The sequence below is a fragment of the Homo sapiens genome, chromosome 14, assembly GCF_000001405.40.
Source record: "Homo sapiens chromosome 14, GRCh38.p14 Primary Assembly".
In the NCBI taxonomy this organism is placed as follows: Eukaryota; Metazoa; Chordata; class Mammalia; order Primates; family Hominidae; genus Homo; species Homo sapiens.
Window position 1 is genome coordinate 62943398 of NC_000014.9, and position 26623 is coordinate 62970020.

Below are 26623 nucleotides of genomic sequence, written 5' to 3' on the forward strand. Positions count from 1 at the left end.
TTCTGAATAGCAGCAAAATTAGTCAGTGTGCCTAATCCTTAGAAAATCTAATATTATTAGGGGCTCAATAATAAGATTATGTAAATAAAATGGATTAGAAAACACTTCATGAAGGCATCATTAAGTATTTACCAAGCAAATTAGCAAGGAGATTACTTACATCTTGATCTAAATACACATACACACACACATACGTATGTACATACATACTATTTTCTACAAGTGCTGCAAAAATATTCTCTCACAAAAGCCCTTTGGTAGTGAATTTTGTGAATGTCAGCAGAGTAGCTGGATTCATTCATGAATGGACAGATACAGAGGAATGGGGAGGATGTGGCTACCCTGGGGAGTAATGGCTGCCACCAGAGCAGTGGAGGTCACTCAAGGCAGACAGAGTATGAAAAAACCAAGAGAAGACAAATTTAAGGTAAAGAATGCATGACGGTAGATGTATATAGAGAAGCATCAGGCAACCCTTCCAATTCAGAAATCTGAACAGGAAGATTTCCCATGTTGGGCAAATATAGGAACAAAGGATTTAAGTCTAAGAAATTCCCAGGTAGCAGGTAAGAAAAGTATCCTGGGACCCTGCTGACATAGGAGGGATCTGGAAGGAATCTCAGTTGAGTGGAATTAGGGGAAGGCCTATACTATTTTTTGAAGATCTGTCTGATATATGAACAAGGAAAACTTTTGAGACTGTAGTCTTAGACAGAGCCCACATCCAACTTAGCATTATGGTAGCAAGAGCCTAGGAAAGGAAAGGCCATTGAAAAGAGGGCTCATAAGGACCTAGGAATCGGGATTGTTGCCACATTCATACTTCTAAATTTTTCTGAAAGACATATAAATTTTGGATGACTTTCTCGAGAAAAAGAGTCTATCATTTGCAAGTAGTGATTATTTTTCTCAACAGAATATAGGCAGTTGGTGTCTCCATCAACCTTTTGATAAAACATTTTTCTGTTTTTGAGTTATAAGGTTACAAGTGGTGCTTCTTAGACAGCCACACAGATTGACTAGAACCCTGGCACAAGTGAAAAAATGAACCTTTCTGTTTTCTACCTGCCTCTTCCCTATCCTATCTTCCCCACCACACATACACACACACACACCGCTAAATCCCTGGCTATGGCTGCTAGCACATATTGGTTTCTAAGAATGCAGGTGGTTTGTTTTCATTTGTTTGTTTTCCTTGGTGTTCTTGTAGGAAAAAAATGATACTATATTTACAAAGAGCTACAATATCCAAATTTGGTTGACATTTCGGGTCTAACAAATTTTGGAACTGTGCAAAGGTACTATAACACTTCATGAATCTAGACAGCTTTTTATAATATTCTCAGGTTTTTCAAAGGAAATATCCCATGAAATTACCAAGGACCCAAGGACTAAAAGGGAAATTTAAAGGTATCTCCCTGGAATACTCTGGCTATAGAAACTGGACTTAATCAGAAGCATAAAAGGAAAACCTAAGTCAAAAGGCAAGAAGATGTCAAAAATTGGTATACAAACAGAAAACTGCTACTCAGGTATTCAAAGAATATAATAGAAACTCAGAGAAGAAAACAACCAACTTTAAAACTAGGTTTTTATCTCTAAATCAAAACAGGAACTTCAGAAAATGGAAGAGATGAGGAGAAATGGAAATTTAGATCTAGCAAGTATAATTGGCTATTCATGAAGGAGAGAAGGAATAGAACCAACTCTGAACCAAATACAGTTTCGGAAACCCAACTGAATATACGTGAAAATTTCCACTGTAGGTAGATTCAGAAGGTAGATGGTAAGAAGCAGTGAGAGAACATTTTGTTGGAGCTTCCAGTGACTTGCTTCTTAGAACTTATATCGATAGGCCGATAAGACACGGGGTTACCAACTCAGCTAAAGGAATGACTACACCCCCAAAGGAAGACAATGCAGGTGAGCTTACCAGGCCTTTCACAAAGGAATCGGGGTCAAAGCTCTAACACCCTGCATTTTGCTGGCACGTACTTGATCGTAGATCTAACTGGGATGGATTCAAGGACAGAAGATCTTCATCACGACCATCAGGGACATCTTCAATTTCATTCATTCATATGAAAAATTAAGATTGAGCACAAAACTCTTAAGAATTGTTTAGATACTGGGGATACAAGAAACGGACAGAGGCCTACCTCTCATGGAGCTTACATTCTGAAGGAAAAGAAAAACCAAGTACACGTGGGTTCGGATCGTGGTAGGGACAATGAAGGGAAAGGTTAAAGAGTAGAGACTACAGGTTGGCATTGAGGTGTTTTTTTATAGTAGGGTAGCACTGGAAGGAATTTCTGTAGAGGCGATACCGTGGAGAGCCACATGAATTCGGGTCATAGGTCAGGAGAGGAGTGTTATAAGCAATGGGAAAGCAAGTACAAAGACTCTGAGACAGGCCTAAGACTGATGTTTTCAGGGAAAATGAGATGGTGAGCATGGACTTAGGAGGATAAGCCAAGGAAGAATGGTTGAAAGTGAAGTGAGTGAGGTAGGCAGGGCCATATCAGGAAGGCCTTGAAAGATGAGCTAGGGAATCTGGACTTTATTTCACACACATTGGAGGGATTTGAGCAGAGGAATGGTGTGATCTGATTTGCTTTTAAAGGGGCTGCTTAAGCTTTGGGATAGAGATTGTAGGGCAAGCATAAGAAAATTAGGAAGATATAGGAGGTTACTTCAAAAGTTCAGGCCAGAGATGATGGTGACTTGGTCTTGGGTGGTAATCTATGGAAGGAGAGAGAAATAATCAAATGTATTTTGAAGGTAAACCCTACAGGCCATGTTATTAATAGATGTAACATAGAAAAACAGAAATCTAGGATGATTCCCAACTTCGGGGCCTCAGAAACAAAGTAAATAATTGTGTCCTTTGACTCTACATAGATTTTATTTTCCTACAATTCTCTTATGAAAAATATAACTGTGCTAGTACATCCACTCTGTAAAATAGTTTGGCAATTTCTTTAAAAATTGAACATACACTTATCACATGTCCCAGTAATCACATTCCTGGGCACTTATCCCAGAGAACTAAGAACTAATGTCCATATTAAAAACCTATACACAAATGTTCACAGCAGCTTTGTGTTTTTTGTGTGGTTTTTTTTTTTATTTTCAGTTCCAGGGTACATGTGCAGGATGTGCAGGTTTGTTACATGGGTAAATGTGTGCCATGGTGGTTTGCTGCAATATCAACCCATCACCTAGGTATTAACATAGCAGCTTTATTTGTAATAGCCAAAATCTGGAAACAAATACAATGTCCTTCAATAGATGGTGAGTTAAACAGTAGTACATCCTAACCATGAACTACTACTCAGCAATAAAAAAGAACAAATTAATTACTGATACATTCAACTTAGATGGATCTCAGGGGCATTATGCTGAGCGGAGAAAGTCCATTTCAAAAGGTTACATTTTACATAATTTAATTTATATAACATACTCAAAATCACAAAATTATAAAGATGGAGAGCAGATGAGTAGTTTTCAGGGAATAGGGATAGTTGGGGGAAATGGGTAGGTTACATATAAAAGACAGCTTTGTGGTAAAGGAACAGTTCTGTATCTTGATTGCAGTTGTAATTAAAGAAACCTGCACATGTGATAAAACAATACAGAGCTATACACACACATTATATCATTGTCAATTTTGATACTGAGCTATAGTTATATAAGATGTAATTATTGGAGGAAACTAGGTGAAGGTAACAAAGGCCCTCTCCACACTATTTTTGCAACTTCCAATGAATCTATAATTACTTCAAAACAAAAAGGTTTTCTTTTTTAATCTAACTATGCTCAAGTATAAGGCAAAATGTATAAATATTAAAAGTAGTATGGTGCTAAATACAGCCTCTGACAAAATGTTGTCTTCTGAATTTATAAAGTACATTTTTGCCCATACATCTTACCACTTTGTATACGTAGGTATCCATTTAATTAATCATCAGCATCTCTCTCTGTGTATAAGGACATTTTCCTGCTGAAAGCCTCTGGAGCAAACAGCACTTGGAATTCTCACTCTCCCTCTAACTGCAAGCTCTAACCAGCAAATAGAGCCTGCCTGTTCTTGTTCCTATACCTGTACAAGGGTTCATTAGACAAACAGAAGCTGAACAACTGCCAACACTGATGCTTCAATAGCTTTCAGACATTCTAAATGATGAAAACTACCTGCTTAGACTCAAGATATTAACCTTTCATGTTCCAGCAAACGCCCTTGGAGTCCCAGAACTTTTGCCATCAATGTCAAAATCTAAGCCTCTGCAACATGGAATCTCAGAAAGGACAGCTTAGACACACACACACACACACACACAAAAACCGATGACCATGATCCAAAGGCTCAAGAGGCGCTAATAATGCTAATCACACCTTCAGTACAATCTTTTTTATTTATTTATTTATTTATTTTTATTATTATTATACTTTAAGTTTTAGGGTACATATGCACATTGTGCAGGTTAGTTACATACGTATACATGTGCCATGCTGGTGTGTTGCACCCACTAACTCGTCATCTAGCATTAGGTATATCTCCCAATGCTATCCCTCCCCTCTCCCCCCACCCCACAACAGTCCCCAGAGTGTGATGTTCCCCTTCCTGTGTCCATGTAATCTCATTGTTCAATTCCCACCTATGAGTGAGAATATGCGGTGTTTGGTTTTTTGTTCTTGCGATAGTTTACTGAGAATGATGGTTTCCAATTTCATCCATGTCCCTACAAAGGACATGAACGCATCATTTTTTATGGCTGCATAGTATTCCATGGTGTATATGTGCCACATTTTCTTAATCCAGTCTATCATTGTTGGACATTTGGGTTGGTTCCAAGTCTTTGCTATTTTGAATAATGCTGCAATAAACATATGTGTGCATGTGTCTTTATAGCAGCATATAAAGGGGATATCACCACCGATCCCACAGAAATACAAACTACCATCAGAGAATACTACAAACACCTCTACGCAAATAAACTAGAAAATCTAGAAGAAATGGATAAATTCCTTGACACATACACTCTCCCAAGACTAAACCAGGAAGAAGTTGAATCTCTGAATAGACCAATAACAGGAGCTGAAATTTTGGCAATAATCAATAGCTTACCAACCAAAAAGAGTCCAGGACCAGATGGATTCACAGCCGAATTCTACCAGAGGTATAAGGAGGAACTGGTACCATTCCTTCTGAAACTATTCCAATCAATAGAAAAAGAGGGAATCCTCCCTAACTAATTTTATGAGGCCAGCATCATTCTGATACCAAAGCCGGGCAGAGACATAACAAAAAAAGAGAATTTTAGACCAATATCCTTGATGAACATTGATGCAAAAATCCTCAATAAAATACTGGCAAACCGAATCCAGCAGCACATCAAAAAGCTTATCCACCATGATCAAGTGGGCTTCATCCCTGGGATGCAAGGCTGGTTCAATATACGCAAATCAATAAATGTAATCCAGCATATAAACAGAGCCAAAGACAAAAACCACATGATTATCTCAATAGATGCAGAAAAGGCCTTTGACAAAATTCAACAACCTTTCATGCTAAAAACTCTCAATAAATTAGGTATTGATGGGACATATTTCAAAATAATAAGAGCTATCTATGACAAACCCACAGCCAATATCATACTGAATGGGCAAAAACTGGAAGCATTCCCTTTGAAAACTGGCACAAGACAAGGATGCCCTCTCTCACCACTCCTATTCAACATAGTGTTGGAAGTTCTGGCCAGGGCAATTAGGCAGGAGAAGGAAATAAAGGATATTCAATTAGGAAAAGAGGAAGTCAAATTGTCTCTGTTTGCAGATGACATGATTGTATATCTAGAAAACCCCATTGTCTCAGCCCAAAATCTCCTTAAGCTGATAAGCAACTTCAGCAAAGTCTCAGGATACAAAATCAAAGTACAATCTTAAGGTTAGTTTAGGTGTGGATAAGTCATCTAAGTCAACTTGAAGGCGTGAATGATGGTGAAGTCTCCCTCAAGATCTTCAAAAGCAGCTTCTTTGTATGTATTTCCTTTATGTTCTGGTCTTCTGATGCCATCCAGTCACAGTCTGAGTGCAGAGCACATGGTCTTTGTTCCTTTAGGGGGTATTCTACTTCCAAGAACTTGGTACCCAGGTATACCTGTTAAATCCTAGACACTTCTCATTGCTGAATGGGCTTATATTCAGTAATCCTTTCATTCTCTCAAACAGGCATATATTCAACCTAGAGTGGCTATAATGAAGACTAGCTTTATAAACCCTTTCTCCTAGTCTTAATTGTAAAAACCTATACAAAAGTGTATCCTAAGGTCAACTTTAATTTAGGAATTCAGTATTAACTAGAATATTTATAAACAATATATTTCACATCAGATCCTATCTCTTTTTTTTTTTTTTTTTGGAATTTAACACATTACCAACAAAATCTATGGAATGTGCGAAACGCCACCTCTCTGGATGCTGGTCCTGGTTCCTTCAAGAGAGCACTGCTGGGTACACACATTAATATGTTTTTCACACATTATTATGTCCTGAAGAGTAAAATATATTATTTTGCATTTCTATTTTCTAAGGTAGATTAAAAAAAACAATTGCAAATAAGATGGATTAAATACCTTTCTGTAAACAAAGTAGTTCGTTTTCATCCTATCTGAGATTGTAGCCAGGAAAATTGCCAATAACAATAATTTTCAATGAAAAAATTAAAATACTTACAGCCAACCATCATCATAGCCACCGAAAACATCTTCTCCACATCTGTGGTAGGAGCTATGTTTCCAAATCCTATGGTTGTAAGGCTTGTCATGGTAAAGTAGAGAGAGGACACGTACAATGAATCCTTGCTGGGTCCTCCTTCCCATATCCCAGCACTGGTATTGTAGCGATATGGAGTCCCAATGCTCAAAGCCAGCTGGTAGAGCCAACTGTCTATTTGGATGGTGTTAGTGACTTCATCAATGACCTCGTAGTCTCCGATGCTATACCATATGCAGGCCAGCCAGTGGGCCACCAGTCCAAACACACACACCAGGAGCACGAGGACTGCTGCTCCATATTCTAGGTAATGGTCCAGTTTCCTAGCCACACGGCCCAGTCGTAAGAGACGCACCACTTTTAAAGAACTGAAGAGACTGCTGATTCCCTGGATTTAAAAAAAAAAAAAAAATTACACCACATTTTCAGGAAAAAAAAAGGCTGGGGAAACAATACAATGGCTCACCTTCATAAATTTAACCATCCAATTATATATTAAGAACATATGTATATTATAGGTCTGATTTTAAGAAAACAAAAAAGTCAAAATGATAAACTTTAAAAAAATAGATATCTTCCTACCCAAAAATTCATATTTTCAAATTATTAGATAAAACAGATTTCATTAGCTAAGAAATTCCCAATTTATTTTCATAAGTAGAATATAAATGGTACAGAGAGAAACCGAAGATGAAAATTGCTCAAATGCGTTATATACAGAGTATACAAATAGGAGTGTTGAATTCAGACCTTTTATTTCCTTTTCCTATAAAACTTTCCCTCTACTCTAAAAGGTTTCTTTTCATTTCTTATTTTATGATAGCTACAAATAGCAGAACTCTGAAAAAGGAAGCACAGTCTTACAGGCAATCACACAGGAAATACTTTGGTATATATGGGGAAAATGAACAAATACCATTGTTGGCCCCACTACCTCCTGCCACAATCATGAGAATCACTGCATTTCTAGAGCTCTGAAAACGTGAACAGAGCTGAACCTGAAATGGGTGTGTGGCCTACTATCCTATCCATTCTCTAGCAAAAGTCACCAAAAATAACACCAAAAAAAGAACAGCAGCCGGAAAATTCATATTTTGTTGAGAAGCTTAAAATAACAAATAAGGGATTATCCAAATCAAAGCACAGCATAGGCTTTCTTAAATCAATGAAAGTCCCATAGTTACTTTTTTGGAAGCATGTAATAGACCACCTGCAGAGGTAGGATAAGTTCATTCCTGATGCAGTTCACAAAATAGGCAGGGAGGGAAAATGGAGCAGTGATCCAGGAAGCCTCTCATGCAGTCATTACCTGCAAATCCATTCGTATCCATGACTTCCTTACTGCTAACCCTGTCTCCCAGAATGTAGACAAGGAATCTAATATAACTTACTCTGACATGAATTCTGACCAGCAAGGAGGAATTTGTTGTTGCAGTAGAATAGATGTATATTAATAAGACTCTAATTATGCATGTTAAAGTTCCTGACAGTTAAGAAGGAAACAGTTGGCAGGGCACAGTGGCTCATGCCTGTAATCCCAGAACTTTGGGAAGCCGAGGCAGGTGGATCACCTGAGGTCAGGAGTTCAAGACCAGCCTGGCCAACATGGCAAAACCCTGTCTCTACTAAAAAAACTCAAAAATTAGCCGGGCATGGTGGTGGGTGCCTATAATCCCAGCTACTTGGAGGCTGAGGCAGGGGGAATTGCTTGAACCTGGGAGACGGAGGGTGCAGTGAGCCGAGATCATGCCACTGCACCCCAGCCTGGGTAACAGAGCGAGACTCCGTCTCAAAAAAAAAAAAAAAAAAAAGTAAACAGTTAAGAATGCATCTGGTTTGTTATACTATATTCTATAAGACAGCATGTGTTTGAAATTTTTCATAATGAAAATTTAAAAGAGAAAGATAACAAAGAGAAGTAGAAACAAGAGTCCCTATAGAAACAAAGGAGTAGCAGGGTCATCCTGCTGGGTTTCTGCCTCAACTTCAATTTCCTTAGGCCTACCTCTATTTAAGTTGAAACTCTCAAATATTGTAGCATATATACAGCCTAAAAACAAATTCCCATTTCACTTTAACACTTGGGGGAAAAAGATGCTAAACTTTAGTCAGTTAAAAAGAGTAGAATTAATGAAATAAAGAAGACAAATTTGTGTAATTCAGTGACATGAGATGTTGGAAGGCTTGAAAGCTTTCAAAAATGGAACAGTGCAGTCATCAACAAGTAATACAAAAATAAACATTTATGGAGCACTCCTATATGCCAAGTTCTGTTTTAAGCCCTGGGGATATTAAGATAAATATGCCTCACTTCTGCTCTAAAGAAACGCATAATCGAAATACATGAAAAACTCAAACAGAGTTCAGTTTAAAAATAAAAACAATGATGTTATAGATAATATTTTCTGGTTAGCTCAAACTTTTAAAGGAACTTTGGGACTTCTGTTTAAATACTGCATAGAAAAGTCATTTCTACCTGAATTCTTTTCTCTGAAAATAGCTTAAAGCAAAGAGAAGGAAAAACAGAGAGAAAATCTTCACCCCATTCAAACTAAGAAAGCCAACACAAACCCCAACTAGAATGTCATGAGTTAGGACCTACTAGAATGAGGTCCAAATGGTGGGAAGACACACATCCCTCATCTCTAGCAAGCAGATTGCTCCAAAAGGAGGTGACCATCCTGACAGGCCTGCTCTGGATTCTGCTTACTCAAAAGCACATTTTCTAATATTTAGAAGTAGTTTGACACTACTTAAATATTATAAAATGTTTTATGAGCTTAAAAAGCAATAAAACATTAGTAAATAGACATACTTGATATATAAAGTATATATAAAATATCAGTTTTATATAGAGAGAGAGCATTATAGACTCTCTCTGCCACAGGTTTAGAAGTAGTTTGACACCACTTAAACATTATAAAATGTTTTACAAGCTTAAAAAGTAACAAAATATTAGTAAATATACATACTTGATATATATACATAAAGTATATATAAAATATTAGTAATATATACACATATATATCAAGCATTATAGACTCTCTCTGCCATAGGTTCTATGGCACTACTTCCTCTTGGTTTTTAGCCAACCCTCCAACTGACGCCCTCTCAAAATCACTTTCCAGGGCTATCCTTCTCCATGCTTCTATTTCATGTTAGGATTCTCATGATTGCCCTCAGTCCTCTTCTGGTTGATCTACTGCATATCTAGGTTTCAACCATCTTCCATATATGAATCATTCTCAGGTCCACTTAGCACAAAAAGAAACCTCTCTCCTGAGTTATTGATACTAAGCCAAATGTCTGCCGTGCGTTTCCTCTTGGATGTCCCACAGGTATCCAAAAATAGGTCCTAAAGGGAACCGTTTGCTTCTCCCAAATCAGTTATCTTCTATCATGTGAATGACATCATTATCCACCCAGTCACTCAGACCTGGGGCGAAGCCTCAACTTTTCCCATTTCCTGCCACATGTAGCTGGTTATCAAGTCCTGAGGGTCTCACCACTCAAAGTGCCTAAATGCTCAAAATATATCTATTTAATAAATCTCTCAAAAAATTTCCTTCTCTTCCATTCCCATAGACATGTTTGGTCATGATTTCCTGGTTTTTTCTCACTTGTGTGACAGGAACTGCCTCTCCATCAGCCATCCCACCTCCATTCTTGCTTCCTCTAATTCACAGATCACACTACAAGGGCTATCAGTCTCGTATTTCTTTAAAGCACAACTGTCTAACCATGTCCCTCTCTAATATAAACTCTTTTCATGTTGGCTCATTACCTATAGGAATAAATATTAATTTCCAAGTGTGACACGCGAAGCCCATCAGGACCTTGTACCTACCTACCTGCTCAGCATCTCTCCTGCCAATTCCTCCACCTGTTCTCTAGGCTGCTGCCATTCTCAGATAGGAGTAGTTCCCAGAATGTCCATGCTGTTTCATGCTACGTTACAAGTTATTCTCTCTGTTTAAAGGCTTCCTTCCCCCACTCTTAGTGGTTAGGATCTTACATACAGTTTATGACAAATACTCTCTCTTCCATGTGCACTTCCCTGACATCATCTCCCTGCCTCTGCCATCTTTATTGTCATACTCTCCCCCGTCCCCCACTGGGAGAATTCGATATCCTTCCTTTATGTTATCATACAGTTTCTGCACATCTCTATTATAACAATTTTCACTGTCACACTTACTACAAGTCTGTTTGCATGTATGACATTCCAGGAAACTCCTTAAGGAGCAGATCTACTGTCAATTACAAAGCTGGCATATGGTAATATGTTAAGCAGCCAATAATTCAATAAATGAAAGAATAAACTTTTATGAAACAAGCAAATGTTGGGGATCAATTTGGAGGGCTTTGATTAATTACAAACTCAGAATGATTTAACAGTATAATGTAGAGAACAAAACAGTCAATGTAACTTAGGGTTGCATTAATAGAGTATGTCATTGAGTACAAAAGAGAAATTCTCCTTAATCTCTACACTGACTAGGTGTATTACTCCATTTTCATGCTGCCGATAAAGACATACCCAAGACTCGGTAATTCGTAAAGGAAAAGAGGTTTAATGGACTCACAGTTCCACACGGCTGGGGAGGCCTCACAATCATGGAGGAAGGCAAAAGGCACATCTTACATGGCAGCACACAAAAGAGAATAAGAGCCAAACAAATGGAGAAACTCCTTATTAAACCAGCAGATCTCATGAGACTTATTCACTACCACAAAAATAGTATGGAGGAAACACCCCCACGATTCAATTATCTCCAACTGGTCCCTCTCACAACACCTCGGAATTATGGAAGCTACAATTTAAGATGAGATTTGGGTGGGGAAACAGCCAAACCATATCACTAGGTCACACATGTAGGAGATCAGTTGAATATATTCATCAGAGAACTGCCAAAAAAAAAAAAACCCCTCAAAACTCAACTCTATTAGGAAATGTGAAAGGAACTGGAAAAAGGGAGATTGGAGCAGGGCACTATTTATATTCAAATACACAGTGCATGGATGAGGGCTGAGCTCACTCTGTATAATCCTAATGTGGGTAACCTGGAAAAAGGCTGGAGCTACAGGGATAGAAGGATGCAAACAGGATTTCAATGGGCCTGTGCCACACACTTCTATGCAGTTAACCAACAGAAAGTTAGGTCATTTATTGCTACTTGGAAAAGACAGACAAGGCAATAATAACATTGAGTATTTACTACATGCCAGGTACTATTCTAAGTGTTTTCTTTGTATTAATTAAATTAAAATTCAGAACAATCCTATGTGGTACCTATCATTAAAGCATGGCCCAGAAAAGTTAAAAATAATTGGACTAAGTTCACATACATAGTAAGAGGAGGAAGCCAGATTCACATTCAGGCAGTCTGTCTCCAGAATTTTCCTTCGTTCATTCTGAAAGTCTCTATACCTAGAGTATAATGTGTAACTTATCCAACCACATGAATACCTGCAATATTGGCTTAAACATGAGCATTCTCTACATGACTGAATAAAGTAGATTAAATACCTAGCCTCCTCTTTCCCTCCACTCAGTCACAGCAATGGCCACGCAGTAGGGGTCCGTGGAGGCCCTGGAACTCTTATATCTATATAGTCTGCAGTTCTCTAACATGGATCAATTCATTTTGTTTTTATAATAGCAGGATTCCTACCTTCATTGTTCACATGAGGACACTGAAGATCAGACAGGTTGAACGAATCGTCCAAAGACACAGTTAGCAAGGAACAGAAGTATCACTCAGACCCAGTCCTTCAGATTCTGAGTGCATTTCCCACAACAACCAACCACGCTGCAGCCTTCCTGTCCTTACCCCCAATCTCTCCTACATCATTGCTGCAATATTAATCTTCCTGAAAGGCAGCACTGAGCATATCGTCCAAGGGCTTATCACAGACATTAAGCATAATCTCTTGAACAGGCCTCCAATGCCCGCAATCCCATCTCTGTCTATGCTGCCAGGTCATTTCCCTCTATGCCTCTGCATAGCCCTAGTGCTCCAATCAAACCAAACTCCTTTTTGCCCCCAAACATCATGTTGAGCAAAAGGAGCTAGATACAAAAGAGTATATACTGTATGATTCCATTTCTGAAGAGTTCAGAAACAGATGGAACTACTCCATGGGGTTAAATGAGCATAGTGTCTCCCTTTGTTGGGAGAGGGGCAGTGATTACAAAAGGCATGAGGAGACCTTCGGGTTCTGGCAGTATTTTGTTTCCTAACACAGCTACTAATCACTAGGTGGTTCACTTTGTGAAAATTCTTTCTGCTGTACACTTAAGATTGGGATAATTTTCTTTAAATATGTCATATTTAAACATCAAAAAAATGTTATGGAAAACCTAATAGTCACTGATGTGTTATTAAGCTAACATTTCACCACAGTACATGATTCAGATTAATAATTTCTTACTCATCCCATGATATTTGGTGGGGGCGGGGGGGGGCAGGGAGTCATAGCTATCAATGTATCTAAAATAAGAGATTTTCCTTATTTTATGATTCACTCTCATAACCTTTAGATTGGGCCACGAATTGCATTTAATTCCTGTTGGCAAGTTTAATTTCACTTATATGATACTACTAGACAGTTTTAGAGGTTGATCCTCCAAAAATGCCCTTCTTATGTACTTCTGCCTTTTTTATAACAATGTTTTGATGCTGTACTTTCCACCAGTCTTAGATATTCATTGATTTTCTGCTTCATTTCACTCCAAACTTTCCAATCTTTCTGTGCCCTCCTCTGCACTTCAGTGGCTTTCTGCCTCTATCCCAGCCTCTGAGCTATTAGTACACAAATCCCTGAGGTTCCACTGTGGAACAGAATATCAAATACATCAAGTGCATAACAGAACACAACAGGGTGAATGGAGGACTTTCAGCCATCAGCCTTCCACCTTTCTAGCCAATTTCCTTACTTGACAAGCCCCTCAGGCCATAGTAGCACAAGGAACAGTATCCAGGAGACACCTCTGTGCCATTAACCCTTCAAGTCACTTTTGTGGATTCCACATTAAAGAGATGTGAGATGTTATCAGCATAAAATAATATCTTGCAATGATAAAGCCATCCAAAATACAAATCAATTCTCTTATCTGACCGTCGCTAATAATAGCAGGTAGATAATTCAGCCAATATTCCTTCCTATTTTCTTCAACTTTCTTGTCCAAGGACACGTTGCAATTAAGTGGAGATGAAAGAGCAGGAATACAGACTTGTCATACCCAGTTGCATGATTTTGCACCTACACTTTGCATTCTCACAATACAATGTTCTGGTAGATTGTTTCAAAAACATAGCTGTGTTTATTTTTCCCCCTGTATCCATACCCCTCTGCAATGTTACTTATAATTCCTCCCATCAAGACAGAGGGTCTGTTTCCTATCTCTTAAATCTAGACTGACTTTAGGACTTGCTTTGGCCAACAGAATGTGATATAAATGACTGCAGCAGATCCAAGCCTAGGCCTCAAAAGGCCTTGCACACCACCTCCACCTGTGGTCTTGGAAGCCAGCCCAGCTGCCATGTGAACAAGACTCACTAGGCTTTGGGGGATGAGAGACCACAGAAGCATCCCTTTGAGTCATGCATTTCAGCCATCCTAGACTACTCAGGCCCTAGCCAACTCAGCGGCTGACCACAGATGCATGAGTAAACTTAGTTGAGATAAGCCAAACCTAGCCTAAATCAGCAGAACCACCCAATTGAACTGCAGACTCATGAGTTGAATAAATTATGGTGGATATTATCTATAAAGCTTTAGAGTTATTTGACATGCAGGAAAAAAGATAACTGATAAAAATGTAAGAAAAGTGCATATGTTACATGCTTATGAGCACAGAATTTCATATTTCTAGGACAGAACACTGGGGCAATATAGATATCGCGTTAATAGAGAGGTCCCATCTTAATACAACATTATCCCAAATAGGAAAGATATGGGTGTGTAAAGTAAGATTTAATATACAATTGTTGGGTGTTATTTATCTGTTATATTCAGAAATATGTTGCTATTATGCTTTGCATGGATTGACGCCAACAAATACTTCATGAGAATAAAGAACTCCAAGTTATTACTTCATAAATCTTATAAATATTTCTAAAAGCCAATCTCACCTAAAACTTAACATCACCTTGGGTGATATCCATGGAGGTGAGCCTTCCAATAGCCTGGCCTTGGAGTTTCTTCACCAATCCATCTCCAACAACCTTTCTACTTCTCCTCAGACACCCACTTTCATGATCAAAATCTAAAATTTGTTATATTCCAAAACTTTCTCCAGCTCTGAAATTTTGAATTGAATCATCCTGCTATCTGATCATGGCTGCTTCTCTGTCAAGATCAATGGCCCAATTACACCAACTGCAAAAGTAGTTTATCCTTACTGAACCTGTAGTCCTTTCCCCAATGTATTAACCCTCTTCATTCTCTACCTTTTTTCTTATATAATCCCATAATTTCAATAACATCAACACCCTAAATTGCTTAGCATCACTGTCTCTTCATTATGCCCACTATCAAAATTCAAGTCCTGGCTCAATTACCAGCTTTCTTCACAACTGTATTATGAACTGCTCAAGACAGTTATACAGTGGGTTCCACTATAAATTCATTACCATCACTTTCAATGCATCTGTCAACTACCTAGCAAGTTTCCTGTTTTTCTTGTAAATTTACCTGCTCACTATATTTCAAGCCTTCTCTACTCTACTCAAAACTCCATCCATACCCTCTTCAACTACACCTTTCCCATAGATATTTAAACATCTCATGTCCCTCTCATTAAGCAAAAAAAATTAACATACCCCCTCACCCTCCTAAATCAGCTATGTGACTAAGCAAATCAGAAACCAAGAAGCATCCTTGCCATCCCTTTCTCTAACATCACCTCACCCAACCTACCTTAAAATCCTATTCATTTTAGAACAATATTTTATCATGGAAAAACTCAAACATACAAAAAAACAGGTAAATAGCATAATAATTCCCCCATTTACCCACAACTCGGCTAGAGTAATTATTAACTTATCACCACCCTTGTTTCTTCTACATCTCTCTTTTAACAGCAAACTCCTGGCCCCACTGGATTATTTTGAAGCAAATCCAAAATGTATAATTTTGTCCATAAATATTTCAGGGTATGTCTCTAAAAGACAACATATTTTTTAATTCAACAAAACTATCACCCATTATCACACCTGATAAAACCTAACATGATTTCTCAAAATCAGCAAATATCCAGTCCACTCAATGCCCACCCTCTCTCCAGCTGGTTTCTTAGAATTAGGACCAAAGAAGGTCCACACTTTGTGCTTTGTTAATGTGTCTCTTAATCTACACATTTCCCTCTCCTTTTTTTAATCTGTTGAAGTCAAATTTATTTATATAAAAAAACAGATTGTTTGTCTTATAGAGTTTCCTAAATTCTGAATTCTGATGTTTGCATCATTATGGTGTCACTAGTATAATCCTCTGTCCTCCCACTTTCCTGCAAACTGGTAGTTAGATTTTGAAACTTGTTCTGAATCAGTTTCCATTATTTTTAAATATTTGTAGTAATAATGTTTTTATCAATACATAATTTTAACTCCTATCTCTCAAATTTATCTACCTCTCACCACCTCCACTGTCATCACCTTAGATCACACTAACAGCATCTCTCTCCTCTATCTACGGGAGTTTCCTAACTGTCAAGGCATTTGTTTAAACCTATTCAATCTGTTCTGAACACTGCATAAGAGTTACCTCTTCAAAATCACTGCTAGTTTAAAATTATCTCATAGCTTCCCACTGTTCTAAAATCTGTTTTGTTTATACAGCCTTGCACAGTCGGGTCCAGGCTTACCACTCTAGCTCCGTTCTCTTCTGCTCACTCTCCATCCAATTTTCAATTCTTTGAATATGTCATTCTCCCTCGAACACAGGGATTATGCACTTGCTGTTCTTTGTAAATGGAATGTTCTATAATTCTTTCTTGCCCATTCCTCAGCCTAGTTGGCTCTATCCATACTTTAAATTATAGCTCAGTTATTGCTTCCTTAGGGAACTTTCACTTTCTGATCTAGATCAGGTCATTTCATTATATAATCTCAAAGGACCATGTACATTCCCTTCATGACACTTGTCTCTTTGTGATTGTGCATGTGTATCATGTTTTGCTCATTCTTTTATCCCTAGCACACTCTAGCACTCTTGGGAACCTAGTGATTTAAAGAATGAAAACATTAATTAAAGAATAACCTAACCAATATATAAATCTCTCATAATAATTTCTGATTCCTCCAGCACTGATACCATAATCAATAATTAATAGCTGCTTAATTTTCACAGGTAGTACCATATCAGGCAACTGGATAGAAACCACAAAACAGTAATAAGCTCTGTTTCATAAGCATTGGGCCCTTATTCTAAATAGATTTTATACATGAATGATTACATAGTCCATTTCCATTTCCTTTTGTAGAGTGCAATTTAAAGACAGAAAAAAAATTGCAAACTACATTTGTTATCTGAACCTCTAACCCAGATAACAAGTTACATTGCTTTTTCCTATTCAGAATTCACTGCTCCAACTCAAGCTACCAAGAGCTCTACGGGGAAATAATCCTAATTACTCCATGGATTAGCTAGCATCCTTCTGTAGAAGATCTGAATTTAAATAACTTGTGCATAAAACCTGTATTAGCCAATTCATATTCTAATTGAAACACAGTGGCATAAATGGCCAGACAGACAGACAAAGAATAGGCACTTATTTTCAGCAATATCCATAATGTAGTAACTTTTAATATGCTTCTTTTTGTAGAAAAGACTTTCATTTTCATATCCACTGGGTCCACAGTGAATATAAAGCTTGATCAAAATATGTACCCTATGAAGAGGTGTATTGCCTAAAGCCCTGATTTTTTTCCAAACATTATGATATGTGTACAAGCAAACCAAATTGGGGATGCTTTAAATCCTTCTTCAATAATTTCTTGCTGCCTTTAGAATAAAACCCAAACTCCTTAACACAACCTACCCCTGCCTACCTCTTCAGACTCACCTTGAGCATCTGTCTTCTGCTCTCTACACTCTGTCATATAGGACTTCTTTCCTACCTTAAAAATATATTCTTTCTCACCTAGGAGATCTCCAAACATGCTGTTTAAAACAATCTCCCTACCCACCAACCGTTTCTTTTGTCTGGTGAATTCCTATGCATCTCTCAGGACTGGGCTTAAAAATGTAACCCCCTCAGAGACACTTCTCCTAACTATCCCCAACCCTGAAAGTTAAGACTCTTGTTTTATAGCATAAATAATTAGTCCAAGAAATGCTGAGGGAATGAGGTAACAGGCAATGAGAGTTGAAGCAGAGTAAGACTGAAGTGGCCATGATGGGCTATGTAAGCAAAGAGACAAAGCAAAAGAGAAGAAAGACTAAGTGAATTTGTCAGGGCTCTCCAGAGAAACAGGACTAACAGGACATGATGGACATGAAAATGGAAATGGAGATGGAGATATGGAGATGGAGATATGGAAATGGAGGTGCAGATGGAGATGGATACAGGGATGGGGATGGAAATGGAGATGGGGATGCTGATGGAGATGGAGATGCAGATGCAGATGGAGATGGAGATGGAGATGCAGATAGAGATGGAGATGGAGATGCAGATGGAGATGCAGATGCAGATGCAAATGCAGAAGGAGATGGAGATGGAGATGATGCAGATGGAGATGGAGATGGAGATGGAGATGCAGATGGAGATGCAGATGGAGTTACAGATGGAGACGGAGATGCAGATAGAGATGCAGATGCAGATGGAGATGCAGATGGAGATGGAGATGCAGATGCAGATGCAGATGGAGACGGAGATGGAGAGAAGATAGAGATGGAAATGGAGATGGAGATGGATGTGCAGATGGAGATGGATACAGGGACAGGGATGGAGATGAAGATGGAGATGGAGATGAGAAGGCACCCAGCCATCCTGAATCTTCTATGAAAATGAAAATGTTGAGGTTGTATTTTTACCTTCAAATACAACCTCCTTGTTTCAGCCCTTTGACCAGGACATCATTTGGTTTATCAGTGCCACACGCGCCTGCCTGATATTTGATTGCATTTGATCAGCAATTAATGCAGACCCTAATCCAGATATAAAAAAATGCTGGAAATCATTCACTATCTCTGATGCAATAGCGTTCATCAAAACTGCAATGGATTAATTAAAACCAGAAATTGCAAATACCTGCTGGAAGAACTTATGGATTGAAGTCATGAATGATTTTAAAGGCTTCCTGGGGATCAATGGAGAAGCTAAGAAAATAATTCACACAGCAAGACAAGTTAGTGAAGAAGAATATGCCAACATACTTGATGAAGTGGAAGAACATATTGAAGGTCATCAGAAGTGCTAACAAATGAGAAACTAGAAGAACTTGTTGAGTCACCTACAGAGGAAGAAGAAGTGAAGCAGAACTAGCAATGTGGATACTATGGAAAGTTGCTGAAGTGTTTCAAATTGTACAGACAATAATGGACAGAATTATGGAATATGATCCACAGATGAAACAAAGCACTAAAGTCTCCTATATGATCAATGAAGGAATACAATTTCTATAGCAACATTTTAATGAGTTTAAAAGAGACAATAATTTCCAACTACAGTGTTCTTCCCAAAGGTTTCAGCAAAAAATAACCTTCAACTATCAAGGATCCCTAATATTGACATTATCTGCTCCTGCTCCTGACATTCAACCATTAATGTTCATGGCTTGATGATCCAGGATCACCTGAAGAATGTAATCATTTTCTGATATATTATCAGAAGGTCAATAGTAGCCTAAAGCTAGGTCACAATGCCTACATCATTCACCCTACTTCATCTCATCATGTAGGCATTTTTTCATCTCACATCATCGTAAGAAAAAGGGTGAGTATAGTAACAATGAGATGTTTTGGAAGAGAGCAAACACATTCACATAACTTTTATTACAGTACATTATAGTAATTCTTCTATGTTGTTATATTGTTTATTTCTTACTGTGCCTAATTTATAAATTAAACTTTATCATAGGTACGTCTGTATAGGAGAAAGCATAGTATATATAGGGTTCAGTACCATCTGTGGTTTCAGGCCTCCACTGGGGGTCTTGGAATGCATACCCATGGGTAAAAGGGAATAACTGTATATAGATGTTGATATTTAGGAAGAGAGAGAGATGTATTGTGAGGAATGGGCTCAAATGATTATGGAGGCAGAGAAGTTCCACAGTCTGCCATCTGCAACCAGGAGACCCAAGAAAGCCGATATTGCAATTCAAGTCCAAAGACCTAAGAACCAGGCCAATGGTGTAAATTCCAGTCCAAAAGCAAGACGAGATGAGATGTTCCAGATCAAGTAGTAAGGCAGAAAAAAGGAGAGAATTCCTCCTTCTTCCATCTCTTTTTCTATTCAGGCCCTCAACAGATTGGATAATGCCCATCCACATTGGGGAGAACAATCTGCTTTACTGAATGTACTGATCCAAGTGCTATTCTCAGCAAGAAACAGATACACCCAGTAACAATGTGTAATCTGAATACCCCAAGGTCCAGTTAAGTTGAGATGAAATTAACAAGCATGCTAAGAAATTCAGTCAAGAGAGAAAAGCATACAGACAGAGTCAGTGAGTCACATTAGTGGTGGGAAACTCAACTAAAGATCTACAAACCCTAAGAAAATAGCTAGAACAGTAAGCAGTCATGTCCTCCAAAATAATTTTCTAAAATATCCCTTTTTTCAACAATTTTAATGACCATATGTGATCATATGGAATGTTAAGGCTATAAGAAAATGATACTGGAGAAAACAATGTCAATGAAAGACTGTGAGATACATGAAGAAGGAGTTCAAAGAGTAGCTCCATTTTCTTTTTCCTCACTTCCCTATACTTTGGCTCAGCTCCTTCCTTTTTTCAGGCTCACTTCCCTAATATTAGAAATTGGCTCTGCCTTGGGCCAAGTTCCCCAGAGCAATCTTGGTCTAGGGCCATACATTAGGTTCTAAGGTACCACTGTTATTTGTGCTATGTGCTGAAAAATATCCATCCTTATACTAAATCTTCCATCACTTGAGGTCACTTGAATCTCTTTCCTTTGCAACTAAAAAGAAATCCTAACCTAACAGCGGCATTTAGCCCATTACATGCTTTCCAACATGTTCACCTCCTCATCACCCCAGTCATTATCTATATCCTATTGCCCCTGTATTATTTTTATTTGTAGAGCATATCACTAGCTGAAATTATACTCACAGACACACACACACACACAATTTAAACTGTCCACATATACTTACTGTCTGTTTTTCCCCCACCAGAATATTAACTCTGACCAAGATGACCTTAACTTGGCTTCTTCCTAAGTCTAGGATCCTGACTTCCCTTTTCTTAGAACATTTATTTAAGAAACTTTCTATCGTAAATTCTTTCTCTGCCTCTTTCAGAGGAAAATCTCCCAGCCTCTTGCCAATTTTATAACCCAGGAATGTCTTTCTCAAAGACTTGTGGGCTATTCCTTTGGAATATAATCATCAAGAAAGATAGTGCCTCTATTTCCTAATGTCTGTAGGAGGGTAGATGTCAAACTTTGATAAGCACCAATTATCAAATGATTAGATGACCTAATCATATTGACCAACATCTCTACACTTGTTTCAACAAAGTTGAGTCCAATCCCTCTCCCCTAGTGCAAAAATCTCTCTCTACTATTGCAACGGTCTTGAATAAAGTCTTTGTTTTCAACAAATGTCTGGTGCAATTTCTCTTTAACAGTTTTATGAAGATAGGGAAGGATTTGTGTGCTTGTTCACTGCCAGATTCCCCAATACTTATAATAAAGGAGTACCTCAATATATATATAGAGAGAGAGAGGTGAATAGATGCATAAAATCAAGTAAGGGATTTGTTTTTTTCATTTAAAGGATGACATTCAGAGAAGAATAAATCCTTCTTATGTCGTTGCTGTAGTTTGCATGTGGTTTGTCCCACCAAAACTCAAGTTGAGATTTGATCCCCAATGTGGTAGTGTTGGAACATGGGGCCTAGTGGGAGGTGTTTGAGTCATGGGAGTGAATCTCTTATGAACGTCTTCATACCATTCTCATGGTAGTGGGTGAGTTCTCACTCTGGCAAGACTGGATTCATTCTTAAAGGAATGGATAAGTTCCTGCAATGGTAGATTTTTCTAGAGCCAGGACACTGTTTGGGTTTTGTCTCTCCTCATATGTCTGCTTGTCCTTTGACTTTCTCCACAAGGTTATGATGCAGCATGAAAACCCTCATCAGAATCCAGGGCCATGCTCTTGAACTTCCTAACCTGCAGAGCTGTGAGCTAAATAGGCTTCTTTTCTTTATAAATTACCCAGCCTCAGGCATTCTGTTATAGCTACACATAATGGACTAAGAGAGCCATCCCTGTATATTTCTCAATGTACCACCACACCTCAGAAGTCAAACCAAATACACAGTCATTCATAACACTAAAGAGCAGAAATTTAACAATTGATCTAGTGATCAGTCCTAGTGATATGTTTACCATATGTACTGGCAGGCTTCTGTACATGGATACTGTGTATTTCCTAAAAATAATTACTTTCTTTGCCATCATAGGTAAGATGTCATTAAATAGATGTTCTTTTTTAAAACTTGTTAGATTTCAATATTGAAGACAAGAAGAAGTGATTCTAAAATTCCAGTAGCATCATATTGAACATAAAATTGAGCAAATCTAAAAATCTGTAATCTATGGTAAAATAATTTTTGCACTGGTTTCCATGATATAGACCTCTTAATTTACTGTGACCAGGACAATTGCAACATCTGTAAAAGTTTTTGAGTAAGGCCATTCACAACTCAGTGTAATCCTGTGTATAAATGTGAATGTAACTGAAGATGACTGATTTTTCCTGACACAATTACCCAAAAACAAACAAATGACAATGGAAACTAGCATCTTCTGAAAGTGCACACTGGGCATTTGATCATAAACTCTGTATTTGTATCTGCAATACTGATCAACTAAACATTCAAACACTACTATCATCGATCATGCTTATTTATCAGTAGACTCAGAAGGGCACAGAATAGAAATCACTGCTCATCAAAAGGGCAGTATTAGCATCCTCTTCCATGGGCATAGACCTCATAGTAGTTTGTGTAGCAGTCCAAAGAGCTATGCTCCCTGTCCCCAGTCTCCCCAAGAAGACAACTTAAAAGTGAGAAAATAAGACTCAGTCAGCAAGTACTGGAGCCATCTTGACTTAAAAGCCTTGAGAAATAGTCTAATCTCACCATCACCACTACTCTCACTCATTCTGGACACTGAAAACTAAAACTCTATCTTACTGTCTACATTAACACGACTTTGGACTATTGTTCTGTCTCCCTTAGCAGGACCTTCTTTCTCCAGGACTCTCCTGCTCAGATAAATGGTTTGATTTTTTTATTACACGAACTTTGCAAAGACCTATTAACTCTTTAGTGAAAAGTATCTGCAGACAGTTTATGTCCTAAGATTCTTTGAATTCTTTCCTTCAAAATCCTTGCCTTGCTGTTTCCTCCAATCCTGTGCTATTGTATCATATTCTTGAACTTTACCCAGTTCTAATAAAGCCCACTCCCCTAGCCACTCCCTGTTTTTAAAAACCTACCTTATATCAAACTTTCGATTCTTAATCCATTCTGTCCTTTTCTTTCCTGCTCTGAGTACACTACTAGAGCTTTGCATGGCAGTGTTCCCTTTTACCGTGGTAAGCAATAAATTCAACTCAGCTTTGTCTTTTTAACAGGTTGTGTTGGTAATGTTTGGGGATGTAGCTTTTGACAGCCTCATGCTCTACCTAATCTAATACTTCTAATAACAATGCCACAGGCAGTTTCAGAGTCCCACAAGAGATATGCTCATATCTGATGGAACTCTGAAAGCTCCATCATTCAAGGAACCCATAAGCTATGGTGTCCTTATCAAGTTATTTATAGTTTATTAAAAGTTCCTCACAGTCTAGATGCAATTTACTGATGAGGGAATTTTTTTTTCCTTTTTGTGGAGATGGGGTCCTAGTATGTTGCCCAGGCTATCCTCAAACTCCTGGGCTCAAGCAATCCTCCTTCCTCTGCCTCCCTGAGTGCTGAGATTACAGGCATTAGCCACCATGCCCAGCCCTTTTTTTCTAAACATAAGTAATATTGCCTAGAAACATAAATGACATGTTCCCTTCATCAGTTCCCAGGGAAGCAAAGGAAGACTGCTAGCCAAAGGTCAAATTCTCAAGCAGAAGAAAAAATAATTTTGTTAACCCTTTACCTAAATATAAACAACACTTCTTAAAGATGAAGAAATTCAATACAAAGACAAACATATTCTTTATAAGTTAGTGTGTGTTGTGTGAAAGCAGGGACATTAGGGAATAAAATGAAGTATTAAAAAGGCTAAATGAAGTAGGGATGAACTCCACTGGAGCTTCCCCAAAAGCAGAGTAACAAAACTATGATTTCTCAAGCATGGGGATAATTATTGCACAGAAAGACAATAAACAGTAACCTCTATGCAAGTATTCATAAGTAGTTAAGGTAAAAACTGTTTAAGAGTTAGCTGTAACATACAAATTCCAATATATTTCAACCTTCTTTGCCTCTATGTTAGAATCATCCCCTGATGCTTAACAATAGGAACAATTTATCATGAATGAAGATCAGTACAGATAAAAAAATTTTTATGTAAACAAGAAAATCAAATAAAGGAAGCTCAATGCTATCCTCATTGCTTGTTATTTCCTTTCCTCTCAAAGCTAATTCCCTCAGTTAGACAGACTGCTTTGTCTCATTGGAAATTCATGCAAAAGAATGTTCCTGCAACATCACCAAACTTTTCAAATCTAAGGAAGTCTATCTTTAAAGCTGTGTATTACCCAACCATGATAACATTCTCTACCAATGCCCACCAGGAATAGAATTTAAAAGCTTAGATGACAGCCATCATGCTCCAATTTGGAACTTGAGGCTGACTCTTACCCTTTCTCCAAATTTTTTCCCTATCTCTTCCTTCACCCTGACCCCTCTTTTATTTACACCTGCAAATAGTTTGTGAGAAAGTCTTTCCCTCAAAGTAGAAAGTAGATATCTGTTCAGAGACTGTGTCTTGTTCATCTTTGTATTTATTTGTATTTATTTGTCCACAATACTTTGCACTCCCAGTGGGAGATCACAGCTTGGAGGCTTAACCCTAGGGTAATCCTTAAACATGTATGGAAAGCTGGTAGGGTAGGTCATCTGACTGGAGGATTATTTACATGACAGCAAAAGAATACTCATGGAAAGCAACTCATGAGAGGAAATGTGAACATAGTGGTCAAAGGATATGCCCTATAGTCTGTGAGAAGAAAGAGTTTAGAGCACAGCTAAGATTATGTCACAAAGGTTTCCCTCTGGCCTTATCTTTCCCATTATTAACAAAAAGCATGTATAGTTAGGAAATGTGGTATGCCTCATTCACTTCAATAGAAATATTTGTAGGCTGGCAATTAGATGTCAGGCATCTTGGTAGGTATACAAATCCAAGATGAGTTAGAGAGACAGAGTGTCTGCTTTGGAGATTCTTCCAGAAACAAGCATAATACCTAACCATTAGCTCTCTAAAGATCTTTGCTGGATTTGAATTATTTACCTGAAGTACAATTAAAGGATGCCAAATAGGGTCACCAACACACCTTCTCTGAGCCTATAGATGAAAGACGAGTAATCCAATACTCAATATAAATATAAATCCAATATAAATATAAATGATTTTCAAATTGTTATTAGAATCACTATATGTATTAAAAGAATAGAAATCATACAATGTCTGCTTTCAGGTCACAATGGAATTAAATTAGAAATCAATAACAGAACAATATCTGAAAAATACCCAAACACTTGGAGATTAAATAACACACTTTTAAATAACACGAGTCAAAGAAGAAATCTCAAAAGAAATTTAAAATAATTTGAACTATACGAAAATGAAAATACAATTTAACAATGCGTAGGATAGGAGATCACAAAATCAGTGCTTACAGGGAAATTTACAGCTTTGAATACATATGCTGGAAAAGAAGAAAAATCTAAAATCAATAATCTATACTTTCACCTTTGCAAACCAGAAATCCAAAGTAAGTCAAAGAAAAGCCATCATAAAAATTAAAGCAGAAATAAATGAAATTGAAAATAGGACATAAATTTTTAAAAATCAACAAAGCCAAAAGCTAATTCTTTGAAAAGATTTTAAAAATCAGAAAACCAAACACCACATGTTCTTACTCATAAGTCGGAGCTGAATAATGAGAGCATGTGGACACAGGGAGGGGAATAACACACACTGGGGCCTGATGGGGGGCTGCCAGGGACGGGGAGGGAGAGCATCAAGAAGAACAGTTAACGCATGCAGGGCTTAATACCTAGGTGATGGATTGATTGGTGCAGCAAACCACCATGACACAGGTTTACCTCTGTAACAGACCTGCCTGTCCTGCACGTGTATCCCAGAACTTAAAATAAAATTAATTTTTTTTTTTTTTTTTTTTTTGGCTGGGCGCAGTGGCTCATGCCTGGAATCCCAGCACTTTGGGAGGCTGAGGCAGGCAGATCACCTGATCTCAGGAACTCGAGACCACCCTGGGCAACGCGGTGAAACCCTGTCTCTATCAAGATACAAAAAATTAGCCAGGCGTGGTGGCATGCGCCTGTAGCATGAGAATCACTTGAGGCTGGGAGGCAGAGGTTGCAGTGAGCTGAGACTGCGCCACTGCACTCCAGCTTGGGTGACT

At 38.0% G+C, this 26623-nt stretch overlaps 1 protein-coding gene across 3 annotated transcripts in view; it reads right to left on the reverse strand.

Annotated features, from left to right (window-relative positions):
• The window catches only part of KCNH5 (potassium voltage-gated channel subfamily H member 5), a 345995-nt gene that overhangs the window by 243934 nt on the left and 75438 nt on the right, over window positions 1-26623 (reverse strand). For all 3 annotated transcript variants that reach the window (NM_172375.3, NM_139318.5, XM_047431275.1), the window contains exon 7: window positions 6736-7162. In NM_172375.3, the coding sequence (NP_758963.1) occupies window positions 6736-7162 (427 nt within the window). The remainder of the gene's footprint in view (window positions 1-6735; window positions 7163-26623) is intronic.